Source organism: Homo sapiens, chromosome 2, assembly GCF_000001405.40.
Source record: "Homo sapiens chromosome 2, GRCh38.p14 Primary Assembly".
NCBI classification, from domain to species: domain Eukaryota; kingdom Metazoa; phylum Chordata; class Mammalia; order Primates; family Hominidae; genus Homo; species Homo sapiens.
In genome coordinates this window covers 122190804-122213930 of record NC_000002.12, presented here as the reverse complement: position 1 = coordinate 122213930, position 23127 = coordinate 122190804, and the positions used below count along the sequence as shown (strand labels likewise).

Genomic DNA, 23127 nt, shown 5'->3' with positions numbered 1-23127 from the left:
TAACCACTGGGGACTCTGGATCAACTCAAGTCACACCCAGGAGATAACTGCTAACTCTTCTACACTAAGGGCCAGCCCTGCAGAGGGAAAAGTATTTTTTCATATCCTAGAATTGAGGTCCTGATCATATAATTGACTTACATATTACATATAACAATGCAGCATTTGATCTAATTGAAAAGTAGCTACTGGAAGTGAAGGTGGTTTTCCATAAGAAGAATAGCTGGTATTATCAGGAATAACAGTGAGGTCACAGGGCATTGAGTTGAGTCAGTTTGTTCTGACACTTACATATTTGATTTTCATGCCTCTTTTATTCTAAGATGCATAATCCATGTCACCCAACATGGAGCTGGACTACCAACTACTCTTCTTTTGAAAGCTATGCTAATTTGAGACATTCTTACCGGGCGCACGGTGTGGGTATGGGTTACAGAGAATGTGGATGATCTATTTCTCAGGAAACCTCTGAAAAGGAGGACAGTCACCCATCTGTCTGAGATTTTGCAGGGCAACAGGCCTGTGGGCAGGCTCGAGGATGGATGAGCCAATCTGCCAAAGGGAAAAGCAGGCAGAGTTGGAGAGAGGAGTTTAAAAAGCTGTTTTGCAAATGCTTCTCTCAGGCAGGAAACTGCTCTATAACCACCACAAGTTTCTGAAGGTTTTTTTTTTTAATTTAGTCTTTCTTCTATACCTTGGTTTTATATGCACACAAATAGACATAGAGACAAGGTCAAGGAACTTCCTCAGACAGTCTTCTACCTGTCTCTATTATGCTTTAGTCAGCCAAGATATCTTTCCAGGGCACCAATCAAATTAAATAACCTGAGTATCCATGAATTACATCTATAACTTGCACCACTTAGAACTGTCCGCAGGTCTCCTTATAATGGCTATAGAAGAGACTCTTTCTCTTTAGGATGGATAAGCTGGCATCTCCACTTGACCAAGTGGTGCTATCTTCAAGGCATTTACCTTTTTTGAAAGGCCTCTTGCCTCTTTGGGACCTGGAGGAGAGTTGAGCATTCCATAACCTTAAAGAGGCAAATGAAAGTAAATCTGTGTGCAAAGGTTGCGAATCTCAAGCGATGCCCTCTCCACAGCTTAAACCACAGGATCTTGACTTGACTTGGCCCTAAAACTTTTTCTTGTAGTCCACACATTCAGAACAAAGAAAAAAGGATTTAGAGCTCATTGCATACCTACAATGAACCAGGCACATTTGGTATAAGTTTTGCAGGTAAATTTCAGGAAAGAGCTCACTTTCAAGAAAAGTTAAATACCTTGCACAAGATAAACAACATACTGAATTCTTAGGTACTACCTAGAGCATTGTGCATGGATTATCTCATTTAACTCTCATACAAACCTAGGCAATACCTATCTACTCATCCTCACTTCACAAGTAAGGATTTTAAGGCTTAGAGATATATAGCTTGCCCAGATAGGTGGCAGGGTTGGATGCAAGCATAGAAGTCTGATGGCAGGGCTACTGACTCCCATTGGGTCCCTACACAGCCAGTAAAGGGAAAAGACCCAATTCTCAGCCAAGTATGTCTGACTCCTGCAGGGAGATTCCCTTCACTGCATCATATTGCATCTCAGAAAGAAGATAATGCAATTGTCTGGGAAAGTGAGATATATTGAAGGTTTGCCATGCAAATTTCAGGCATTGGATCTTAAGGGATGGAATGGACATTACACAGCACATGCAGACTCTCTCATCATCACTTTCCATTCTAGTACTTCTCTTCCCCTGCCCCTGGCAGCCCCATTTCCCCTCAGAAAGAGACCACTAGGGTTAGAAGGGACCAGAGGCTGGATGCGGTGGCTCGCGCCTATAATCCCAGCACTTTGGGAGGCCGAGGGGAACAGATCACAAGGTCAAGAGATCGAGACCATCCTGGCCAACATAGTGAAACCCCACCTCTACTAAAATACAAAAAAAAAAAAAAATTAGCCGGATGTGGTGATGGGTGCCTGTAGCCCCAGTTACTCGGGAGGCTGAGGCAAGAGAATCGCTTGAACCCTGGAGGCAGAGGTTGCAGTGAGCTGAGATCATGCCACTGCACTCCAGCCTGGGTGGCAGAGTGAGGCTCTGTCTCAAAAAGGAAGACGAAGAAGAAGAAGAAGGAGAAGGAGAAGAAGAAGAAGAGGAGGAAGCGGAAGAGGAAGAGGAAGAAAGAGGAGCGTGACTCCTCTAGACTCGCACCATAGGCCAGGAGTCAAATCACTGTTGCAAGCCCTAGTCTTAGTCTAGAGGAGGACATGGCTCTTTCTCTCTGGCTGGGGATCAAAATGACCTCTACTGCTTGTTTAAATACAGAACCACCCCCCATCAGACCTCATTCATGATCCCCCGGTCAAAATCTCCAAGGTAAGCCACAGGCATCTGTACTTTTAAAAAATTTTCCTCAGGGCTTTGAGTGATATTTTTCTGCATACTTCTGCATTATTTGAATCTCTCACAATGAAAATGAAACTATTTTTTTCTAAAATAAAGCAAATGAATCACAGTGTGGTGCGTATGTGCATATGTGGCTGTCTCCCAAGCCTACCAAGTCTTCTGATGTGTGACCAGATTTCAGGCCTGCTGCTGCTGCTGTTCCATTTATTCCAGGCTGTTGCTGCCCAAAGCTTTGACCTACTGCTTCTATTAAGCCTTTTAATGAAAATCTAAGAAGTAGTATCTACCCTGACAACGGAGACCAGAGAAAGAGAAAAGATCTACAATAAAAGTGAATTAAGGTGCAGTTTAAAATACAGGAAAGGGCACAGACTTTGAAGTCAAAAAGCCCTGGGTTTGGATCTGCACCTGCCATTGTTGCTGGCTCAGCATTTTTGGACAAATCGCTTAATTGCCCTGAGCCTTGCTTTTCTAGCTAAACTCTGGAGATAATAATTCCTGTCTTGCAGGATGATGGCAAGAATTCAACACAATAATGCATATAGCATGCCTAATGCATACTCAATGCTAACAAAATGGTAGCTATTATATCATTAGTCTCATAGAAATTATTATCATTATTATTATCAAAATTTTCAAAAGTAATTTTTATTAGCATTAATAACCCTTCATTTCCAAAGAATGAGTGGGAAAGAAAGAAAAGACATTTCAGAAGACTTTAAATGACTAGGAAGGAACAACTTACAAAGTATTCAAGTACAGCAAGCACTGCAGGCCACTGCAGAGACTTCTCCACACTTCTGGAGAGCTATTTGATCCACCTTTTTTTATGATGTGAGTTCACAAGGCAAGATCCCGCATTCCTTCTACAGCTGGTCTAAGGCCAAGCACAAGGGTGGCACTCAATAACACAATCTTATCTCCTCTCTCTTTTGAGAACTGCCTCAAGAGAAGAAAATCAACCACTCTCCAGGTAACTTTTGTGGAAGAAAGGCAGCATCAAAAATTGGAAGGTGCTTGTTTAACTTTCCAAAGAAAGAGGCATCATGATCTTTTCACGTTCTGTGGCATGTGTAGCATCAGATCATATCAATGGAGAGTGCAATGGCATCAGAAGGAGGAAAGGGGAATCCAGCAGCAGGGTCCATCTCCTGCAAGTGAATTATCAGTGGGGACTGGCCTGCTAAAGTCATCTTGTCATACCATGACAAAAGGAGGCCATCCAAGGAGCTCCTGCTAGAGACAGATTCAGAGGAAATCAGTCTGATGGATGACAGTGGGCTGTGGAAGCATCTGCGGAAAGTCAGTGCTAAATAGCAGGAGGAGGAAATAATAAAGAGGGCATCACAAGACAAGTTGCTGGATGAAAAAATATCCTTTAAAAAAAGCAGAGCTTCTATAAAAATGACATCAAGCCAGTGGTGACAAAACGGAAAGCCGCAGTCAATTTAGTCTGCCGTGGACCAGTCCTAACAGCTAAAAGGCCCCAGACCTTTGCCTGCAGCTCAGCCTCCAAGACAGGCTGGAACCCTTGGCACCCTGCTGCACTGCCAAATTTTGCTGAAGGGCACTGAGACTCAGCAAAGTTCAGCACCTTGCTCAGAATCCCCCAGTAGGTAGGTGAGAACCCAGTTCTCCGTCCTGTCCTCTTTTCCATTTGTTCAAACCAGCTCACACCCCAAAAGGAGGTCCATCTGAACACAAAACCTTTCAACTTTCAATGCAGGTCACCAGGAACAGGTGATCTTTGTTGCTTAAGGGTCTAAGGAAATAATGTTTGGCTGGTAGATAACAAACAGCCCCCAGGGAAACAGGTTGACCATCAAGGATGAGCGCTAGGAGTGATGAGAAGGATCTCACCTAGAAAGACAGGCAATTGGGTGAGGCACTCTGCCATGGCATTTTTAATGACCTCTCATGCCATCTCTTATTGATCTGGTGCCCAGGTCCAAGGTGGCCTCAACTGGGGAAAGGCGGTGAGAGTTGAAAGGGCATTTCACAAAAACACAGGACACAACTGGAGAGAAAAGAGAAACCAAAGGCCCAGCACTTCCATATCTTTCAAAGAAAAGTATTTTTCTCCTGAACCCTTTAATTGTCTTTCCAGGTGGGTGGAACCTCAACACCTTGAATCATGTGTGGATGTGCAGGTCTTTCATCTATGACCTTGGGGAATCATTCTTTCCACTCACTTCCCCATTTGTTTCTCAGAAGAAAGGGGAAAGGGGGAAACTTCTTGCTCTCTTTTAATTTTTAATTGTTTTACTAACAGGATAATTTTTGAAATATCCTCTGCTGTTTTGAATATCCTGGCTTTTTGGTGTGGGTTTTTTTTTTCAATTTTTGTGTTGGTTTTTTTTTTTTGTATTTCAGCCCCAGGAAAAGAAAAGGTGAGTGCCACCTCAGGAAGAAGGTTATGACACAGGGAAAGCCCTGTAAGGCAGGAAGGAGAAGAGGAACACAGTCCTCTTGGCTCCAGGAGGGAACCTGAGAGAAGCCACAGAGAGGGAAAGAGAGGAACTCTCCTCTCTCTCTCTCCTACTCTCTTCCTTTCTCTCCTTCACTTATGAGACCAAATCTGAAGCAGAATCACAGACAAATTTTAGGAGAATACTATAAAAATGAAGCTTTGTGTGCGCTTTCCCAGATACAGATGGAAAACTTTCAAAAGCACTTAGACAATGACCCCATACAACATGGCACCTAGGTTGGACATGGCCACAGGTTGGAAATGTCAGAGGAACAAAGCAAGTCAGAAGAAGGAAAATGTCACCCTCCATATTCCCCAGAGCCAAGGCTAATGTGCAAAAGATCCTCAGTGTACTGTGAGCCTGGAAAAGGTCATCAAGGGTAGCTGGGACGCAGACAGACCAGGACTCACAGGCTGAAGAGGGAGCCCACGGAGACATACATACCCCATCCAGGAGCTGTAGTTTGGGCCGTGCTGGGATAAGGGAAGAGAGAGGGTCCCCACTCCAGGAGCTCACAGTGGTGGCCAACCCCATGGCCCATGAGGGCCATTATTCTGCCTCCTGACAGTCAGAAAGGAGACTCTGCCAGCACCAGAGACCACCAGCAACAGAGGGCACCAGCAGCAGAAGTCAGCACAAAACCCACAAGGAGCTCCACCGGCTGTGGATCCAGCACAGGTGAAACAAGCCCCCGAGAAAAAGCAGACATGGCCATTTCCCAACCCAGTGGGCAGCAGCACCAGAATTCCAGTCTTGGACCACACCAGCCCTGCTGCACTGGAGAGCTATGAAGGACCGCATGACAACAAGCACATCTGAGCCTTTGTTCATAGCTGACACTTCATAAGTAACACGTGACATGAGCAAAGCCTACCAGAAGCTTTGCCCTCAATTGTGTGTAAGGCTGCTTGTGTCAGAAGGTCCCCCTCACCCACCCTCTTGTTCTCCTTTATTCACAGTTCCATGTGGCCCTTCACTACAAAGGATGCTGGAGTAATCAGCCTCTTCCTCAGAAAAGAGTTCATGATAACACACAAGCACAAGCCTAGAAGACAGCAATTCCATGTCCATAATCGGATCCTGCTTTATATTGGGTTGTGTTTTATATTACTTGAAAACTATGAGATTAAGTTAATTAACCACTCGCTATCCTCTATCAGGACAGCAGGTCATGCAGAGAGGTTTAAGAATTTATTTTTAAAAATCTAAATGGACTTGGTATAACTGAGTCCTAAATATTCTCAAACAGTGTGCTCTGGTTGAGAAAGCTAAGTTTGTTAGCTTTGTGGGAAGGGTTCTCGGTTGTCTCTGAGTCCCCAGATACATTTATTAGGCACAGAAATGACAGGCAGGACAGCATATTCCACAGCACCATTCTCCACTCAGCTTTGGACTCTTGGTTCTGCCTCCCAAGCCCCTCCAAGCTCCCAGGGGAAGACAGTGCATGAAAGGGCAAAGCCATCTGTTGGCAACGCTCCTCGTCCTATCAATCCCCAGACACATGGCTTGTGGGTCACAGGATCATGGCTGTCCAGAGAGCCTTTTGTGGGTCCATACAGACGGTCTTCTCAGCGCTGTGAGACGGAGGTTTTGTGCTGTCTTGTAGAACTGGCAGAATTCATTCAAAAGTGTGCTCATAAGTTACCTCACTCTTTTCTATCTCTAGCTAGAACAGCCTGACCCTGGAAGAGCAAAATAAGAACGTTCTCTACATTAGCTTAAAAACATCCTTATCAATAACTTTTCAGGTAAGTGGTAAAAACGAGTCTGAACAAATCACTGGCTTAGCCATTGTGTTAGGCAATTTCATAAAAATAACTTTAATGTCCTTTCTTGCACAAGTTGGGAGAAGAACACAGAAGCACTACCTTGATGTTCAGCCCAGAGAAGGGGAGGCAGCAGTAGCCCAGGGCCTCCCAGGCTCACTGCGGTGCGTTCAGCGCTGTCCTGTGGAGCATCTGGAATGGCCCTGCTGGGGTTCACGCAGCACCTGCAGAACCCAGAGATTCCTACCTCAAGATCTTCTTTGTAAACATAATAGATGGCCTTGCAAACATAACTCTGAAGTGCGATGTTTATAGATCATTCTTTTAAAAATCTTCAAGGATATGTCAACAACTATTTGAACAGGGAAATTTTAGGAAGTCAACTTTATTTGTTCACAGGATAACTTCACACCAGTAGTTTCCACCTGCATCTGTATAGCCAGGGGCCCTTCTCCATTCAGGGAAAAGCTTTAGAGAAATGTTCAAGAAAGAAATATTGCAAAACCTCCTGCACTGTTTTCAGGAGGAGATCATTTTAGGAAAGCTCTCTTTGTGGTTGCATTCCAGTGAAATACACAATACAGAGTCTTAAGAAGGGAGCTTGATACAGAGCAGTGACTGATTTGCCCCCAGATTCAGGCACTGAGTGGGTGTGAGTGTGCAGGGATAAATGTGAGCATCTCCAGCTCAGTGGTGGCAAGGACAGCTACACCTCTTGTGTCTTAAGCACTTAGCAATATGTTTGACTTATAGTGGGTACTAGAAAAAAGCTAAAAGAATGAGTGAATGGATATGCAATCTAAACTCTGGTTTCCTTGTCTGTAAAAAGAAACAACAATTATAAATTTCCAGGTCCTGCCAACCTCAGGCCATGAGCATCAGAAAGTAGGGTAAGCATACACACTCATTATTGTGTCTTTCAAGCAGACTCTTCAGATGCATGCTTTCGTATCCCCATCCACTCTTGAACTCGGTGTTCTGCAGTGTGAGTCACTCATGGAGAGTCGGTCTTTGCAAAAGGACTTGACATTCTTGGAGAGCAGGAACTGGCCATGTTTATCTCTGTGTCCTCATGCCTGGTACCAATGACCAGAGCTGTTTTGAAAGGGTCCTGGGGGGCACTCCCCCAAGAATGTCTCTCTGAGCCCAAATCCTGGTGGCCACATGCTGTTGGGGCCTTCAGAAGCCAGAGCATCAGTGGAAACTGACTTGTGCCTGAACACCAGTGGTGAAAAATGAAGTTAAACATCTTCATTAGGAAATGTCAGGCACATGAAGGAGGAAATGCAGAGCAGGGAAGAGTGGGCACAAGGAGCATGTATAATGAGGCCCAGAGCTACGGGGTGCCAGCCACAGGGCTGGGAAAGATTCAGCTGACTGCTGTGCAGCACAGAGGGTGGAGAGCCTGGGGCTGTTAGCATCCCAACTTCCCATGGTTAACTCCTGTTCCCTCTGACTGCTAAGTAGATCTCTGCTCCCTGGCTGTTAGTGGAGGAGTTTGTCAAGATAAGAAATGCACTTGGAAACATTTTACATCTTCCACACAATTGGCTTGTTCACAGTGTAAGTTTGCCACAAGCAAAGGCATTCAAGCTCTCCCCAGACACTGCGAGCCTGCAGTTCATACTCAGATCTTGAAAATACTTACCAAGCTCTCTGCATTACCTTGATTTCCACAGAAGGAAGATCGGGGCAGGGTACACACAGAACTTCATCAAAGCAAGAGATATTTAAATATATTGCTCATCTTCAGCAGGAAATGGTATTTCCATGTTATCTTTCTCCAAGAGAAAAAGAAACCTTTTCACTTTAAAGGCATCCCTGATCTGCCCGGCCAACTTAAAGCATTTTCTACATCAGGATTGGCAAACACGTGGCACTTATAGCACCGGCGAGCCCTTCTGCGTCCATGATAGGCATTGCTTACCAACTACTGCACATGGAGATGCAATAATTCAGCTTCAGAATCCTTCTCAACACTGTGCTTCACGCAGTCACTGTAATCAAATGATATTAGTCATGGAGCCCCTGCTATGCTAGATACTTCATGAGCTAGCCCTCTGACCTAATCTCCTGACACTCTCAGAATGCATTTGCTACTTTTTCCTGCCCCTTCTTCTGATAACTGGCCCTAATTTACTTTGAGGGACCACCCACCCTCCACACGTCCAGTTCAAGTGGCTCAGGTGTAATCATTGTACTCCTGGCTCTGGGGGTGGATACATGAGCAAGGCCCAACCAGTCAGAACATCGAATCCCCCTGGCTTGAGACATTAGACCAGAGATACTCATGTGGTCTAATCTGGTCCAAAAGACTCAATCTTGGAACTCAAACCACAACAACTGAGAACAAATACACTTACTTTACATCTAGACCCAGACTTGCAAATTTGTAAGCCTTGAGCCCAGAAAAGAGAACTTCTCTGAGGGTCACAGAGACAGTGAGAGAGAACATTTGCGTCCCGGTGAGTCACGGCATCATTTGATTCTATGTCTTCTGATGTTTTTGAAGCCAGGTCTACCTGTGCCCTGTTTCAAATATATGAGGCAATAAAGCTCATTTTTAAAAAGCAACTAAAGTCAACTCGATTGAATTTCTGTCACTTGTAACTGAAACAGCCCCAATGGTGCCCTCACTCACTTCAACTTGATGATTCCCTTGGCTGGTAATGGACTCCAACAGCAGTGAGATCATACAAAGCCACCAGGACCTACCCTAACGAAGTGAGTTGAGGCACACTTGTTAGAGGCCAAGGCCACACACATATGCCCCACATCCAGAAAGCTAGTCCCCACCCCACACAGGTCGCCCTCAGAGGAAGTAGTCATAGAAGAGCTGTTACAAAGAAAAGACGTCTCTGCAGGTGGAAGCCTTTCATCACAGGCACCTCAGAGCCATCCAGTCGTACAATTCCTGAGCACAACCATGTCTTATGGGTCAGCAAGCCTGGCACTGTTGCTGGGATTCACCAGCTCTGCTTCCACAGACATAAACTGGAGAAGCAAGCCCAGGACATGACCACTGCCCATGATATAGATCCGTACCACTCGCGCTGGCCTGCTGCTGGAATCACAGTAGATTCTCCTCCGGTAGTTCCTGGGTGAGCTCTTTCTTGCACCTCTCATTTTCTGCCCCATTTCAACCTTCAGTGCCATCTTCCTGCCCCATTGTGACTCCCCAATATCCATAATCTGACTCTTGACAACTCTGCAACTGTAGGGTGTGGCCCAGCTGTGGGATCCCCTTTTCTAGTGAAAAGCTCCCACTTTTAGTTTCTTAAAGAGGATCTTGACACAGGTCCAATTTGTTCTGGAGTCTTTGGTTTCTATATACGAAGGCAGATCAAAAGTGCCTTGCAGACATAGCTGAGTTTGCTTATGAGGGCTGGATCAGAATCCCTGTTCCCTATTATTACAGAAGCCGTAAGAATACCAACATTCTCCCCAGTGGCTCAAAACTGAGGGTTAAAATGTTAATCAGGAGTCACCAGAGATGCATGAGTCAGGATTCAGACATTCTGCACACCGATGCCAAGAAAGTACACATATTTCAAGTGTTAAATCCCTATTCTTTTCCAGGGAGCTCAGATTTCAGCGATCATACTGAATGGGGATATTTGGGCTTGTTTCTCAGCATGGACCAAGAGAAACAAAAGAGTGCAATATAGCTCCCACTGTTAATAACAGATGCCCCCTTCCGGAAGCTTTGTCAAAACCTCTTAAGGAACACATGTGTCTCACTCACTTCTTGGCTATATCACTCTTCTGGCTTCAGCAGGAACACATTTCATGCCCAGGAGAAAATGCATCAGTGAGAGAAAGACTTCAGTGTTTCTATAAACAAAAACAACTCTAGCAAATCCCCATAAAGAATTGTTTCCTTTCATATGAGAGCCCAACTTTTAACAGCTTTCAAGTAATCTTTGAAAATATATTCATTTTTAGAAACTAGTTTCCACCAGGATATAAGACATTTAGAAGAAACCAACTATATTACTTTTCTGTCCTTGGAAACTACCCTTGCAAGCAAGAACAATTGTGAAACTATTTCTAGTGGTGATAAGACTTTTGCCCGACACAAGCTATTTTCTGTATCGCATTTCTAAACTCCCAGATAGTTTACAGAAATCATCCCCCTTCCCTCTATTGAAACTGCCTTTGCAAAAAATTATAACTGAGAAAATTATGATCTTGCTTCTAACCTCCGAGCTGTCATGGTTCATTCCTGGGCATAGGCTGAACTAACTTTGCAGGGAACTTACTCTATAGTTTAATTTTGAAACAAGGACGATAAGAGCTCTTCCCCAAAACAAAACTCCTTTTTGCCAGGGAACGATACTGCCTTTGCAGGGCTAACAAATTAGCCACAGGATTAGAAATTGTGGTTTAGGAGTCATGTAGTTGGAGGCTACAAGATTCTGAACCTCCCCAATTTGCTCCTGGGGATAACATCCCTGGTGTAAAACCTAAGACCAGTGCTTGAGATATTTTGCAGCCCCTGTACTCAATGGATCAGCTGGCACCACCAAAATCGATAAACTAGCTAATCTGGTCTTGTGGCCCCCACCCAGGAACGGACTCAACACAAGAAGACAGCTTCGACTCCCTACGATTTCATCTCTGACTCAACCAATCAGCACTCCCCCGACTTCCCGGCCCCCTATCCACCAAATTATCCTTAAAAAACCCAATTCCCAAGTTTGTAGGGAGACTGATTTGAGTAATAATAAAACTCCAGTCTCCTGCACAGCCAGTCTGTGTGAATTAAACTCTTTCTCTATTGCAATCCTCCTGTCTTGATAAATAGGCTCTGTCTAGGCAGCAGACAAGGAGAACCTATTGGGCAGTTACACTAACACCACCTCTGCTTCTGCTCACAAGTGAGTGCCTTAGGTACCAGGTCCTGCAAGGTGAAAATGGCTGTCAGCCCTTGTCACTATCTCTGCTATCCTAGGCTCTCCCCTATGGCACATAGGCAGAGGCCAAAACCCACATTTCCCAGACTGTTTTGCTAGCATGGTGCCTTTTTTGAATCTTCCAATGAGAAACACTCATGAAAGATCTGGGGTGGAAAAAGAAGCAGAAGCCATCATGGTTCCAGCAGCTGGCAGATGAGCATGAGGCACTGCACAGTTTCTGGAACCTTCCCTATGAATCACACCCTTGGGCGATGAGCCGCTGAGCTCATCAACAGCTCTCACTTCTCTCTCTCCCTGGAGTCTGTGGGGCTCTACCCACAGTTAAGAGTCTGAAGGCAATGCAGGGCGATAGGGATGGCCCTTGAGGAAATCTGCATCTCCTTATCAGTGAAAGGCCTAGGAAGGACATCACAGTGTCCCCACACAAGGGAGAGCTGACCTCTTCAGAGAGGCAAGAAGAGGCCTCTTCTGCTGACAAAGACAGCCTGGCAAAAAGTGGAGGCCTAAAGTATCAGCTTCATCAGAATCTAGGCAAACATCCCCATTCTGATTCTCAGGTCCTGCTCTTTCTCAACCAGGGTTCTAACACTTACATTAAAAATGTGGTCTAGCTGTGAAGTCAACTTTGGTTAGATGACTATAACCTGTAGGATCAAACTGTGCCTGGAAGGAGAGATGGCCAAAGGTGTAGAGCTACACTGATTCATGAGCTGTAACCAATGGTTTGGCTACATGGGTGAAGGTTTCAAAGGAGTTAGATCAAAGAAATGTTAGCAAAGAGTTTTGAGGAAGAGGGAGGGAGATGAACTTACCAGAAGGAGCACAGAGTGTGGAGATATCTGTGTCCCATGTGACTCTTTACCAAAGGGCATCTACTGCAAAGGTTGGTCTAGTAATCAAGTGGAGATGATAATTCCTTCTAGGCAAGTCAGTGTCTTTGCCCAACTCCCCAGTGCCTGCTCAATGGGCTGCTGAGCAGTGTGGCCAGGACATGGATTGACATTACACATCAGCTCAACAATACAATCTCTGCTGGCTGTTACCATTGCTAAATGCCCCACCTGCTGAAATTAGGGATGGAAACCGAGTCCATAATATGGCATGGTTCCATAAAGAACCAGCCAGATACCTGGTGGCAGTTCCCTTCTAGTGAAGGGTCAGTAGTTTGTCCTCACTAAAATAGAGTGAGTCAATTCATCCATCTCAGCTCTATTTTAGTGATTTGGATTTGTCTTCTCTGTCCCTGATGCTCTGCTGGACTGTCATCACTGAACCCACTGAATGACTTAATTATTGCCATCATATTGCTTCCACATAACATCGCTTCTCACAAAGAAATTCATTTCAGCAGAATGAATAAGGCAATGGACTTGTGCCCTTGGTGTTCACTGTTCTTACCATTTTTCCCATCATGCAGAAACCACTGAATATCCTAGAATATTGCAGTGGCCTGTTAACAACTTAGTTGTGGCACTAGCTCAGAGACACCACCATGCAGAATTGGGAAGCAATCCTATAAAATGCAGCGTATGCTGTGAACCAGCAACCAATTAAGGACTCTGTTTTTCTGACTGTCAAAATATAAGGGTAGGAGATCAAAGCAATGAAAGAGTAGCCACTCTCACTGTTATTCCTATAACAAACTTGCGACATTTTTCCTCATGTCTCCATAACTTTGGGGTCTGCTGCTTTAGAAGTCTTTGTTCCCAAGGCAATAATGCTTTCATGAGGGACACAACGATTGTTCCACTCAACATAAGTTGAGATGACTATCTGGCCTTCCACTAAATCAAAGGCAAAAAATAGTTACTGTACCAACTTTAATGATATTTCTTAATTATAAAGGAAAAACAGAGCCATTGTTAAACAATAAGGACAGTGAGGTATGCATCAAGAAGCCATCGTATTCCCTGGGGAAACATGCAGCGATTTTGTGCCCAACATCAAAAGTCATTAGGTACTGACAACCCAGGACAGTCGGTACCACCAAGGATACAGACTCTTCAAGAGTAAAGATTCCAGTCGTCCCACCAGGTAAAGAACTTTGATCAGCTAAAGTGTTTGTTGAGGGCAAAGAAAATTTGGAATGGATAGTGGAAAACAAAAATTAAAAATGGCAAGTATGGCCTCATAACCACTTGCATAAGTTGGGGGCAGAGCTATGTATATCCCTTGACTGTTATTTATTGTTGGCCCTTGAATAACATGGGTTTGAACAATGCAGGTCCACTTATGCACAGATTTTTTTCAATAAATATATTGGAGAATGTTTTTGAGATTCATGATAATTTAAAAAGACTTGAAGATGAACTATGTAGCCTAGAAATATAAAAAATATTAAGAAAATGTTAGGTATGTCATGAAAGCATAAAATATGTGTGTTAATTAACTATTTATGTTGTCAGTAAGGCTTCCAGTCAACAGAAGGCTCTTAGTAGCTAAATTTTGGGGAAGTCAAAAGTTATACTCAGATTTTTGACTGTTCGGAGGATCAGCTCCCCTAACCCATGCATTGTTCAAGGGTCTGTATATATTTGGTATATATTAACCCATTTATTTTCCCCTCCTATTCCTTTATTTTATATAATGTGTGTTAATGATGTTTATTTAACGTTATAATTTAGTCTTTAGGTGATACGATATTCAAGGAGAATTGTGACTGATGCAGAAGGGCCATGAACATCCCTTAGGGCCAGGTGCTGTGGCTGCTATGACTTTGCTCCTCTGGTTCCATGGAAAGCATCTTTGTTGTAGGAGAGATAGTTGTATTGTTATTAGGTATAAGCATATTCATGTTGTTGTTGTTCTTTGGAAGTTTAAATACGATTAGAAGCATGTTTATGAATTCTGAGGAGGCCAGGAAGTGGTCTGTGCTAAATGGCAGCACTCTGCACCATCCCCATCCTCTGTCCTCATAAGCTGTACCATGTAGTGCAAAGGCTAGATGACTGAGAACCACATTTCTCAAATCCTCTTCAAATATGGTTCCCATTAAGACTCTGCCAAGGAGAGACCCTGTCATGAGACTGGAAGGGCAAAATCATAATTGAGGGCAGGCAAGAGGGCTTTTGTTATTCAAAGACATGAGGCTTTGTCATCAGTTTCCATATGACCCTAAGCACAGAGCATATCTCTCTTATTTCTGGCATTTAGTGAAAACTTAGAAAATGTTTTTCTGTGTAGACAGATGACTATATAAAATATCACTTATATATTCTTTTTTAGCTATTTGGATATATAAAAGGATGGATGGATGGATGGATGGATGGATGGATGGATGGATGGATGGTTGGGTGGATGGGTGGATGGATGGATGGATGGATGGATCAATGGCTGGATGGAAGTTGAGGCAAAAAATATACATTCTATATTCCTGGAATTTGATATCCAATAAGCATAGAAAGATCAAGTGACGGTTTTGAGTTTTGTTTTAAGGATAAATGAGAGAGCACTGAATGTTAAAAGAACATTTAAAGATAAAAGAGAGATCCTCAGAGAGGAAAAATTCAAATTTGCTAGAGAGGATGGTGATCACTATTAATGTAAGCTCTCAGACCAGATGGAGAAACATGGACTCCACAGTGAAAGGTATCTAAAGAAGAGCCCTGTGCTCTCCCAGAAGAATGGAGAAGGATGCAGTTGGCAGAATCTGCCTACTAACCTTTATATGTCATCATTATTTTAGACACATTTTATGTGTTTACATGAAAACCCAGAGAAACAGTTTTGGGCTCCACAGAAGAATGAACATTTTCACCAGTATGACCAGTTAACCATAGGAGTGTCCACTGCTGTCACTAGAAGCATTTGTGTGACAGCTAGATGGCTAGATCTGGAAAATACTACAGAAAGGATTTCTGACCAGCTGGAAGCTTGGACAAGAGGAATTCTAAGATCTTTTCCAAGTAAAACTTCCGGGGTTGCTTTCTTCCCTGCTGTGGTCCATTTAATCTTTACCACTGGCCAGGACACAGAGGCTCACCTGCAGAAAGACTCTAGGTATGATGACAGCTAGTAGAAGAGCTGTTTTTGGACAAGGAAGCCCCTCTCAACACTCCTCAATTCATAACACATAAGTAGTTGCCTACTCTGGATATGCAGGAGGAATGATGATATGAAAAGTGTCTGCTAAATAAAGCAGTCTAATTAATAAAACAACTGTCAAGAGCCTGCAATGCTAATTTCATCTCACATGTGTTGCATTCTCACACACAACCAAATAGGAAACCATCTAACCCAAGTAAAGTAGTTTCTAAATTACCTTTTAAGAGGAAGACAAGTGCACAAACTGCAATAAAATGAGGGCAATGCTGAAGGTTGAAACAATATCTGAAATTCAGAGCCTGCCTTTGATCTTTCCTTTTCAAAGATATTCTCAGCCCTGCGATACCCTCTGAGGCTGGAGAACAGCAATGGAAGTGACTAGTCCCTGCCTCATGCTGGAAGCCCTACTACAAATTGCATTCAGGTTTGAATTCAAAGGTGTCCTGCTGAATGAGCTCTCCAAGCAGAGCCAGAGTTTAAATGTCTAACATCATTCTTACTTTCTTTTAGGTAACTGGGTCTCTGGATCTCCAGCTACACATTCTAAGACCCAAGAGGTAGGAAAGGTAACCTCAGCACAGGCTCTGGTTTCAGACCAGCTCAGGGTTTCAGTCCCAACTATGCTGCTTTCCAGCTACATGGACTTAGATCGCCCAGCTTCTCTGAGCTTCAATTCTTCATCCATAAAGTGAAGATAGCTGTATCTTTTGCAAAGTTTTAGCAAAGATTAACTCAGAGAATATGTGTAAAGCTCTGAATACAGAGTCCATTATGTAACAGGGTGTCACAGAAAGTATTACTTTATCCACCCACTGAACTTAAAATCATTGGTAATTTGAAAATCCAAAGGTTGCTTATTTTTTCCTGTTAGCATTTCTCCATTCTGAAATGGAATTTTGCACTTTATAGTGTTACTGTTAATAACTACAGGTTCATGTATTCATTCAATAAACATTTAGTAAGCACCAAAGGTGTGCCAAGCCAAGTGACCAAAGCTGCAGCTGAAGAGTTATATGAACCCTATGTCCTGCCCTCAGGAGTCCAAGTCATTTTTTCACCTAGGCTAAGCAGAAAAGTGAAATCCCTTTGCTATTGTCGCAAGAGTCACTTGGGGCCCCACCATCTCTGGACAGGTGACTGTTGGTGTTAAGAGGGGGTTGGCATCTGGCCCCTGAGACAGGACTACATTTAAGGATTCAAATGTAGTTGTTGGACATAATCGAGCAGCTTGACAGATGTCTAAATAGAAAGGGCCTCCGGAACTCTTCTGTTACCTAGGCTTCCAAAATGTCATGTCCAAGCAATGCCACTATGAGGTGTTGGCAGAGACCTAAAAATGCTTCTTTTTATCCACTAGTGACCATCCACTCATTCATTTATTCCCATTCAGCAGACATTTCTGGAGCACCTGATGCCACGTGCCAGATACTGTGGTAGGTGCTACGGAAACAGAAAATAAATCAATTGTTCCTGTACATGAGGTGTTCACAATCTAATAAAACAGACAAGTTAGATGCAAAGACAGATGGTGCAACACCATTGGTGCCGTGATGGGGGCTGGAGGGCACAAGGGCTGTGGTAGCACAGAGGATAGCTCTCCACACATGATGAAGGCCGTCAGAAGAAGCATTGTGGAGATCGAGTGAGCTGAGTTGGGGAACTCTTAGTCAGCTCAGGTTGCCGTAATAAATTACCATAGACTGAGTGGCATAAACAACAGTTATGGAGGTTGGAAGTTTGAGATCATGTTGGAGGTTGGAAGTTTGAGATCATGTTGCCAGCATAGCTGGGTTCTAGTGAGGTCTCTCTTCTGGATTGCAGATGGCTGACCTCTTGCTATGGCAGAAAGAGAGCTAGCTAGCTCTCTGACATCTCTCTGGCTTCTTCTTTCTTCTTTCTTCTTTCTTCTTTTTTCTTCTTCTTCCTCTTCCTCTTCTTCTTCTTCTTCTTCCTCTTCTTGTTTCTTTTTTTGAGATGGAGTCTTGCTCTGTCATCCAGGCTGGAGTGCAGTGGCATGATCTCAGCTCACTGCAAACTCCGACTCCCATATTCAAGCAATTATCCTGCCTCAGCCTCCCAAGTAGCTGGGATTACAGGTGCGTGCCATCATGCCTGCTAAATTTTGTATTTTTAGTAGAGATGGGGTTTCGCCATGTTGGCCAGGCTGGTCTCGAACTCCTGACCTTGTGATCTGCCCACCTCAGCCTCCCAAAGTGCTGGGATTACAGGTGTGAGCCACTGCACCCAACCTGGCTCCTTCTTATAAGGGCACTAATTTCATCTATAAGGACTTCAATCTCATGATATAACTACCTCCCAAAGGCCCTACCTCCAAATACTACCACATTGGGATTTAGGGTTTTGGCATATGAATTTGGGAGAGAAAATATTCAGACCATTTCATTGTTCAAGCAATGAGGCAGAATAAAAAGAAGCAAATTCCTCTTTCCTACACCTTTTGCTCTATTCAGGCCCCCAAGGAATTGTATGATGCTCACCCATGTTGGAGAGAGCAATCTACTTTACTGAGCCCACCCATTCAAATGCTAATCTCATCCAGAAACACTTTCACATACAAACCCAGAATAATCTTTAACAAAATATCTGGGCATCCTCCAGCCCAGTCAAGTTGACACATAAAATTAACCGTCACAGATGCAGACCAAAGTAAAAGGTGCAAGTCTATAAGCCAAGACGCATAAAACAGGGCAAGATTTTGGAATGATTATCAATGGCTGCCCCAGGGTACGAATGTAGATGTTTGGCAAACAATGATGCAGAGAAGTAGATAGAAGTCAGACCAATCATTTCCTTCAGACAGCTCAAATGCTTGCTGCAATATAAACAATTTTTTAAAAACATGTCTCACTTCTTTCATCAGATGGCCCATGAATGAAAGACCTGGATGACTTTCAGTGGGTGAGCCCTACCTCCTTGGTTGAACTCTCACCCAAACACTTGGACCCCACCCTTATGCACTGAGGTTAAATGCAAGAAATAATTAATGCCTATGTCATCTGTGGCCACATCGAGGACAGTCCACCTGCACCACCTTCTTCCAGGACCACAACGGTTACCTGGCCTTCACTCCCTCCAGCCCACAGCTAGCATCTGGTCACTAGCTCACTCTTCTAGTGGTGTCCCCTTGGGCTCAGAGGCATCCCACCACTTTGCTTGTTGGTTTGGTTATCACTTGAATGGTTATCACAAGCTGTTTGACTCAGCACCAGCCCAGCACAGGTTGGGAAAGGAGCAGAATATAGGGGAAAGTGGAGGGACTTTGGGACTAGAGTCTGGTTCTTCCACACACTTTCCAGGTGACATCAGTATTAGGCTAGGCCCCTTTACAAATCCAAACCTCATTCTTCTCGTTGGGAAAATAGAGATATTAATACTTCCTGGAGGGCTTGTCAGGAGATGCCACTACCCTGCAAGTTCCTTGGGTCAGGGACTTTGCCCTGCTCTCTGTCATGGTTCTAATCCCTGATGATTATCTGACATGTGGAGAAAATACCATGAAATATTCATGAGTGTATACAAAGTGCCTGACTCATAGTTAGCTCAAGTAAATGTGTGTGCCTGTGTCCTGAAAGAGTGGTTATTTCCCCCAGCACTAACACTACCGTAAGAAGTGCAGGTGGGAGAAAAACAAAGAGGACCTCTGAGTCAGACACCCCCTCCAGGGCTCCATTGTTCTCATTCAAGTCAGGAGATGGTGGAATATCTCCATGTCCCAGAAGGCCCACCCAACCTCTCTAACGGAAAACCTTTGGCTAGTTCAAGGTGTGGCATGAAAATTAAGCCCACACATCAGAAACATTGCACCCACCACAACCAGCATGGGTTTACCACGTGCTTGCATCTGACAGCATTGTTTAGACAGAGCTTTAAGTCTTAGTTTCACAAATTAAATGTGTTGAATGAGTGACCAAGTGATTGAATTTAGTCAAATAAATATCAGTCAGTTGATCCCCTTTTTTGTGAAAAAACAAGCATGCATTGCACCTGTACCAAATTTTGGCATGCATGATCTTATGGGCTAGACTGGGAGTGACTTTCAATGCTATCTTTGACTGACAAGGAACCTGAGGCTCAGGGAGGTTATATCGCTAGTAACCTGCAGAGCCTGGTGCAGAATCTACAAGCTGGCCTGCACTGAGATGCCTCTACGTGGAGCAAAATGTCTAGGTTTTGCTTAATTTGAACCCATCAAGAAAGAAAATGGCACTATTCTGGGGTCAATAGTTCTCCATATTGTGTGAATATTGCTTTTCCTTTTCTACTTTAAAAGTGACACCAGAGTGGTTTTCGCCAGTTAAAAATACTATAGCTGTCTGTTCAGTAGGGAATCTTTTGTAAAGAGGATCAAATATTTAAGACAGGGCATTTTTCCCCCTTAGAGCAGAGCTAAGCGGAGGATAAAAACGTGCTATCTTCCTCATCCGTATGCAAGAAGGAGAGTTTGGATCCACATTCTTGTAAACCTGGAGGAGTCAGATAACAAGCGTTTCTCAATCCAGTGGCTCAAATTTCAACCAAATATAACTTTTCTATCTTGCAAGACAGATGTGGCAATCCAGAAATATTATGATGAGAATGTAGGGGAAGGAGAAAGCACAGTTTGTAGTTACATGGCAATGAAGGGATATCAAACTGTGCACCATAATACCATGAATTACGAGACCAATGGGACAAGAATTTTTTTCCTGGGAGGATGGATGGGTGACACTAATACTCCTGTGACTGAAGAAAGCCAGCATGTGCCCTGATGTTACAGAAGGAAACACAGACATAAAAGTCTAATATAAACATTCTTGGGCCCAGACTGAAGTGAAGATAGAAAGGTTACCATCGACAATATGGATATAAAAATATCAATCTGCAGTATAATTATAAATAAAACGGTTGTTAACTTTTACAACGCCTACATATATTTATGTAATGTCAAAGCTTACACATCACCAATCTTTATATCAACTTTTATATTGGCATTCTGAGAAAAACACCATATTTCCTGGAGTTTTTTGTAAAATAACAGAGAGGCTATGGCCATAAACATTCTTCAAATGCATAGATCTCATCTCTGCGTGTGTAAATGGTATGTGTGCTGTGTACATTGACATGCTAATGAAAGCATAAATAACTCACCAGAGACTCCAGAAATGGCCAGAGCAGCATTGTCAATTTGACCTTTAGCAGAAACAGCATGAAAATATTACCAGTGCATCCAAACGCTGCACCCACCCTGAATCTGGGAATGCAGGAAAGAACAGAACACCCTGACTACTTCCTATACGACAGTGTGGCCCAAAGAGTGCCTGGTCCAGCCTCAGGGAGACTGAGTTCAAGTCTACAGCTGCCAGTAGCCGGCTCAGTAATTTTTAAGTAAATCGAGCATCATTTTATGTCTCCAGATGTTTGCCCATAACAGAGACTTTCAAGTATATGTATGAGGCCAGACCCAAAATCATGTGAAAGACTTTTTGAGATCCCAACCAGAAACCATTAAATTGAGGGCTATTCCACTCATAAAGGTAACATGAGAAAGTGGTGCACTTACTCCAAGGATAAAATTGTCACTATCATTTGCAGACCTCATTGGTTGCTACTGTCCTACAGGGCAACACCTGCTTGGGGAACAGCCTTGGCTATACAGGCAATGGGGCTGGGTTCAAACTCTGACCCCATCACTTATCAGCTATGTGACTATAGGCAAGTCACTTAACCTCTTTGAGATGTCATTGCATCTGCTGTAACATGAGAACAGCAGTATCCACCTAATGGTGGTATTGCGATAATTAAAAAGCCACAGCTAGCATGGTGAATGCTGTGTAGTAGACAATAGATGAAGGATTCTCCTTCTTTTTTCCGACATGGGTTCATTTACAAGTTGCACAAGAAAACGGCCTCATAATATCCACCCAACACATCAGCCAGGCTTGCCACGAGGATCTGATGTGACAGTAGATGTGAAGACACTTTGAATATCTCATTTATCATAACCATGTGTGTTCACTGAGTGTGTATATATAAGAGATGCTGTTGTAGGTGCCAATAAATATGTTATTTAGACCTAATAATCACTACCATGCTAACATTGATGGGAAGGAGGGGACTTTGCCCTCAACTCACAATCTTATCCATAAAGAAGGCAGTTTCTGGCCCCTCTTCCCATGTGGGGAAGCACTCTCTCTCCTCACCTCAATTTGCTCTTCTCCATTAGAAGAGTAATCATAAAGACATGGGCCTTTTCCCAAATGTACTCCTTGTTGGGCATTTGTCTAAGGGCTTCACACACAGTTACTGATTTAGTTCTCACAGCACCTTCAGCAGATGGCATTATTATTATTCCCATTTCACAGATGAGGAAATCAAGGTTGAACTCCATCATGTCACCTGACAGCAAAAGATGTGTGACCAGTAAGTGTCCGAGCCAGAGAGACATGGGAGGAGAGAGGCAGCTGTGTTTGCTCTGCAGACCCCAAGGATACTGATCCAACCAGCCGATGGGCAAGAAGATCAGATAAAAGGAAGGGGTAGTCCACCTCCTCTCCCAGCTGCAGGCCCAGGGGAAGAGCAGGGTGACGGTCAGGTGCACATGTAGAAGGTAAGCCCAGATGCATGCATACCTGGCAGGAGGAAGCACTAGAAGGGCCACTCTGAGGATAAATGTGGAGGGTGAGACAGGAACCTGCCTTTAGGGTTCTGCAATTCTGCCTCTGGGTGCCTGGCATGGCTCACAGAGAGTCTGGACTCCACAACCAGATTAGCACTCGCTATTAGACAACACCGCCTAGTGGTTAAACTCACGGTCTCTGCCTGCATCCAAATCCCAGCTCGGTCCCACCCCATTTACTGAAAGGCCAGATTCAGATGGGATGTGGGAGCTACACTTTGCTCAACCCTAGACTATATTCTCTAATCTAGGGTGGCCCTGAGCTTTGCTTTGTGGTTTCTGGAACTTGCCCGGGTTAATAAAGCTGATGTAGTTTTCCTTTTAACGGTGTAAAACCCTAAACCTCTAACAGTAAACTGGGGGCCTAAAAGAAATGTCACTGGGTTTTATTATAATTATCCACAGGCCCAGGGATTCTCAAAGTGCAATCCTCGAACCAGTGAGATTAGTATGGCTTAGAAAATTATCTGGCCCAATTCCAGACCTACTGAGTCAGAAACCCTGGGCCTGGGGCCCAGCAATCTGTGTGTGAACAACCCCTCCAGGTGATACTGATACATGCTTAAGTTGGAGACCTAATCACAGGCACCATCAGTCAATCAATCAATTCTACCAGCCCTACTGGGTACGAAAACAAAGCCTTGACACACTTTGTAGGGTGGAGCCTGCCGTAAGATGATCCCCCACCCTCACCTCAGCACACAAATCCACCCATTTCCTTACACAGGAGCCATATGGATTTTGCTAATACAAACATAGTAACTAGTCAGCTCAAAAAGTTTCCATGAGAAAAAGTCCCAATGGTGTTTTCCCATTAATTGGGATTGCTCCATTGCTATTTCTA

At 43.8% G+C, this 23127-nt stretch overlaps 1 long non-coding RNA gene across 6 annotated transcripts in view, besides 2 other annotated features; it reads right to left on the bottom strand.

Annotated features, from left to right (window-relative positions):
- The window catches only part of LOC105373592 (uncharacterized), a 530486-nt gene that overhangs the window by 219008 nt on the left and 288351 nt on the right, over positions 1-23127 (bottom strand). The window lies entirely within an intron of this gene.
- Positions 7849-8350: an enhancer, noted in NCBI's record as "NANOG hESC enhancer chr2:122963157-122963658 (GRCh37/hg19 assembly coordinates)". NCBI's record gives its function as "activates a minimal SCP1, AML or CMV promoter by ChIP-STARR-seq in primed H9 embryonic stem cells {active_cell/tissue: H9 hESC(primed)}" and the evidence as "EXISTENCE:reporter gene assay evidence [ECO:0000049][PMID:30033119]".
- Positions 21272-21472: a silencer, noted in NCBI's record as "peak3841 fragment used in MPRA reporter construct". NCBI's record gives its function as "represses an SCP1 promoter by STARR-seq MPRAs in K562 erythroleukemia cells {active_cell/tissue: K562}" and the evidence as "EXISTENCE:reporter gene assay evidence [ECO:0000049][PMID:32103011]".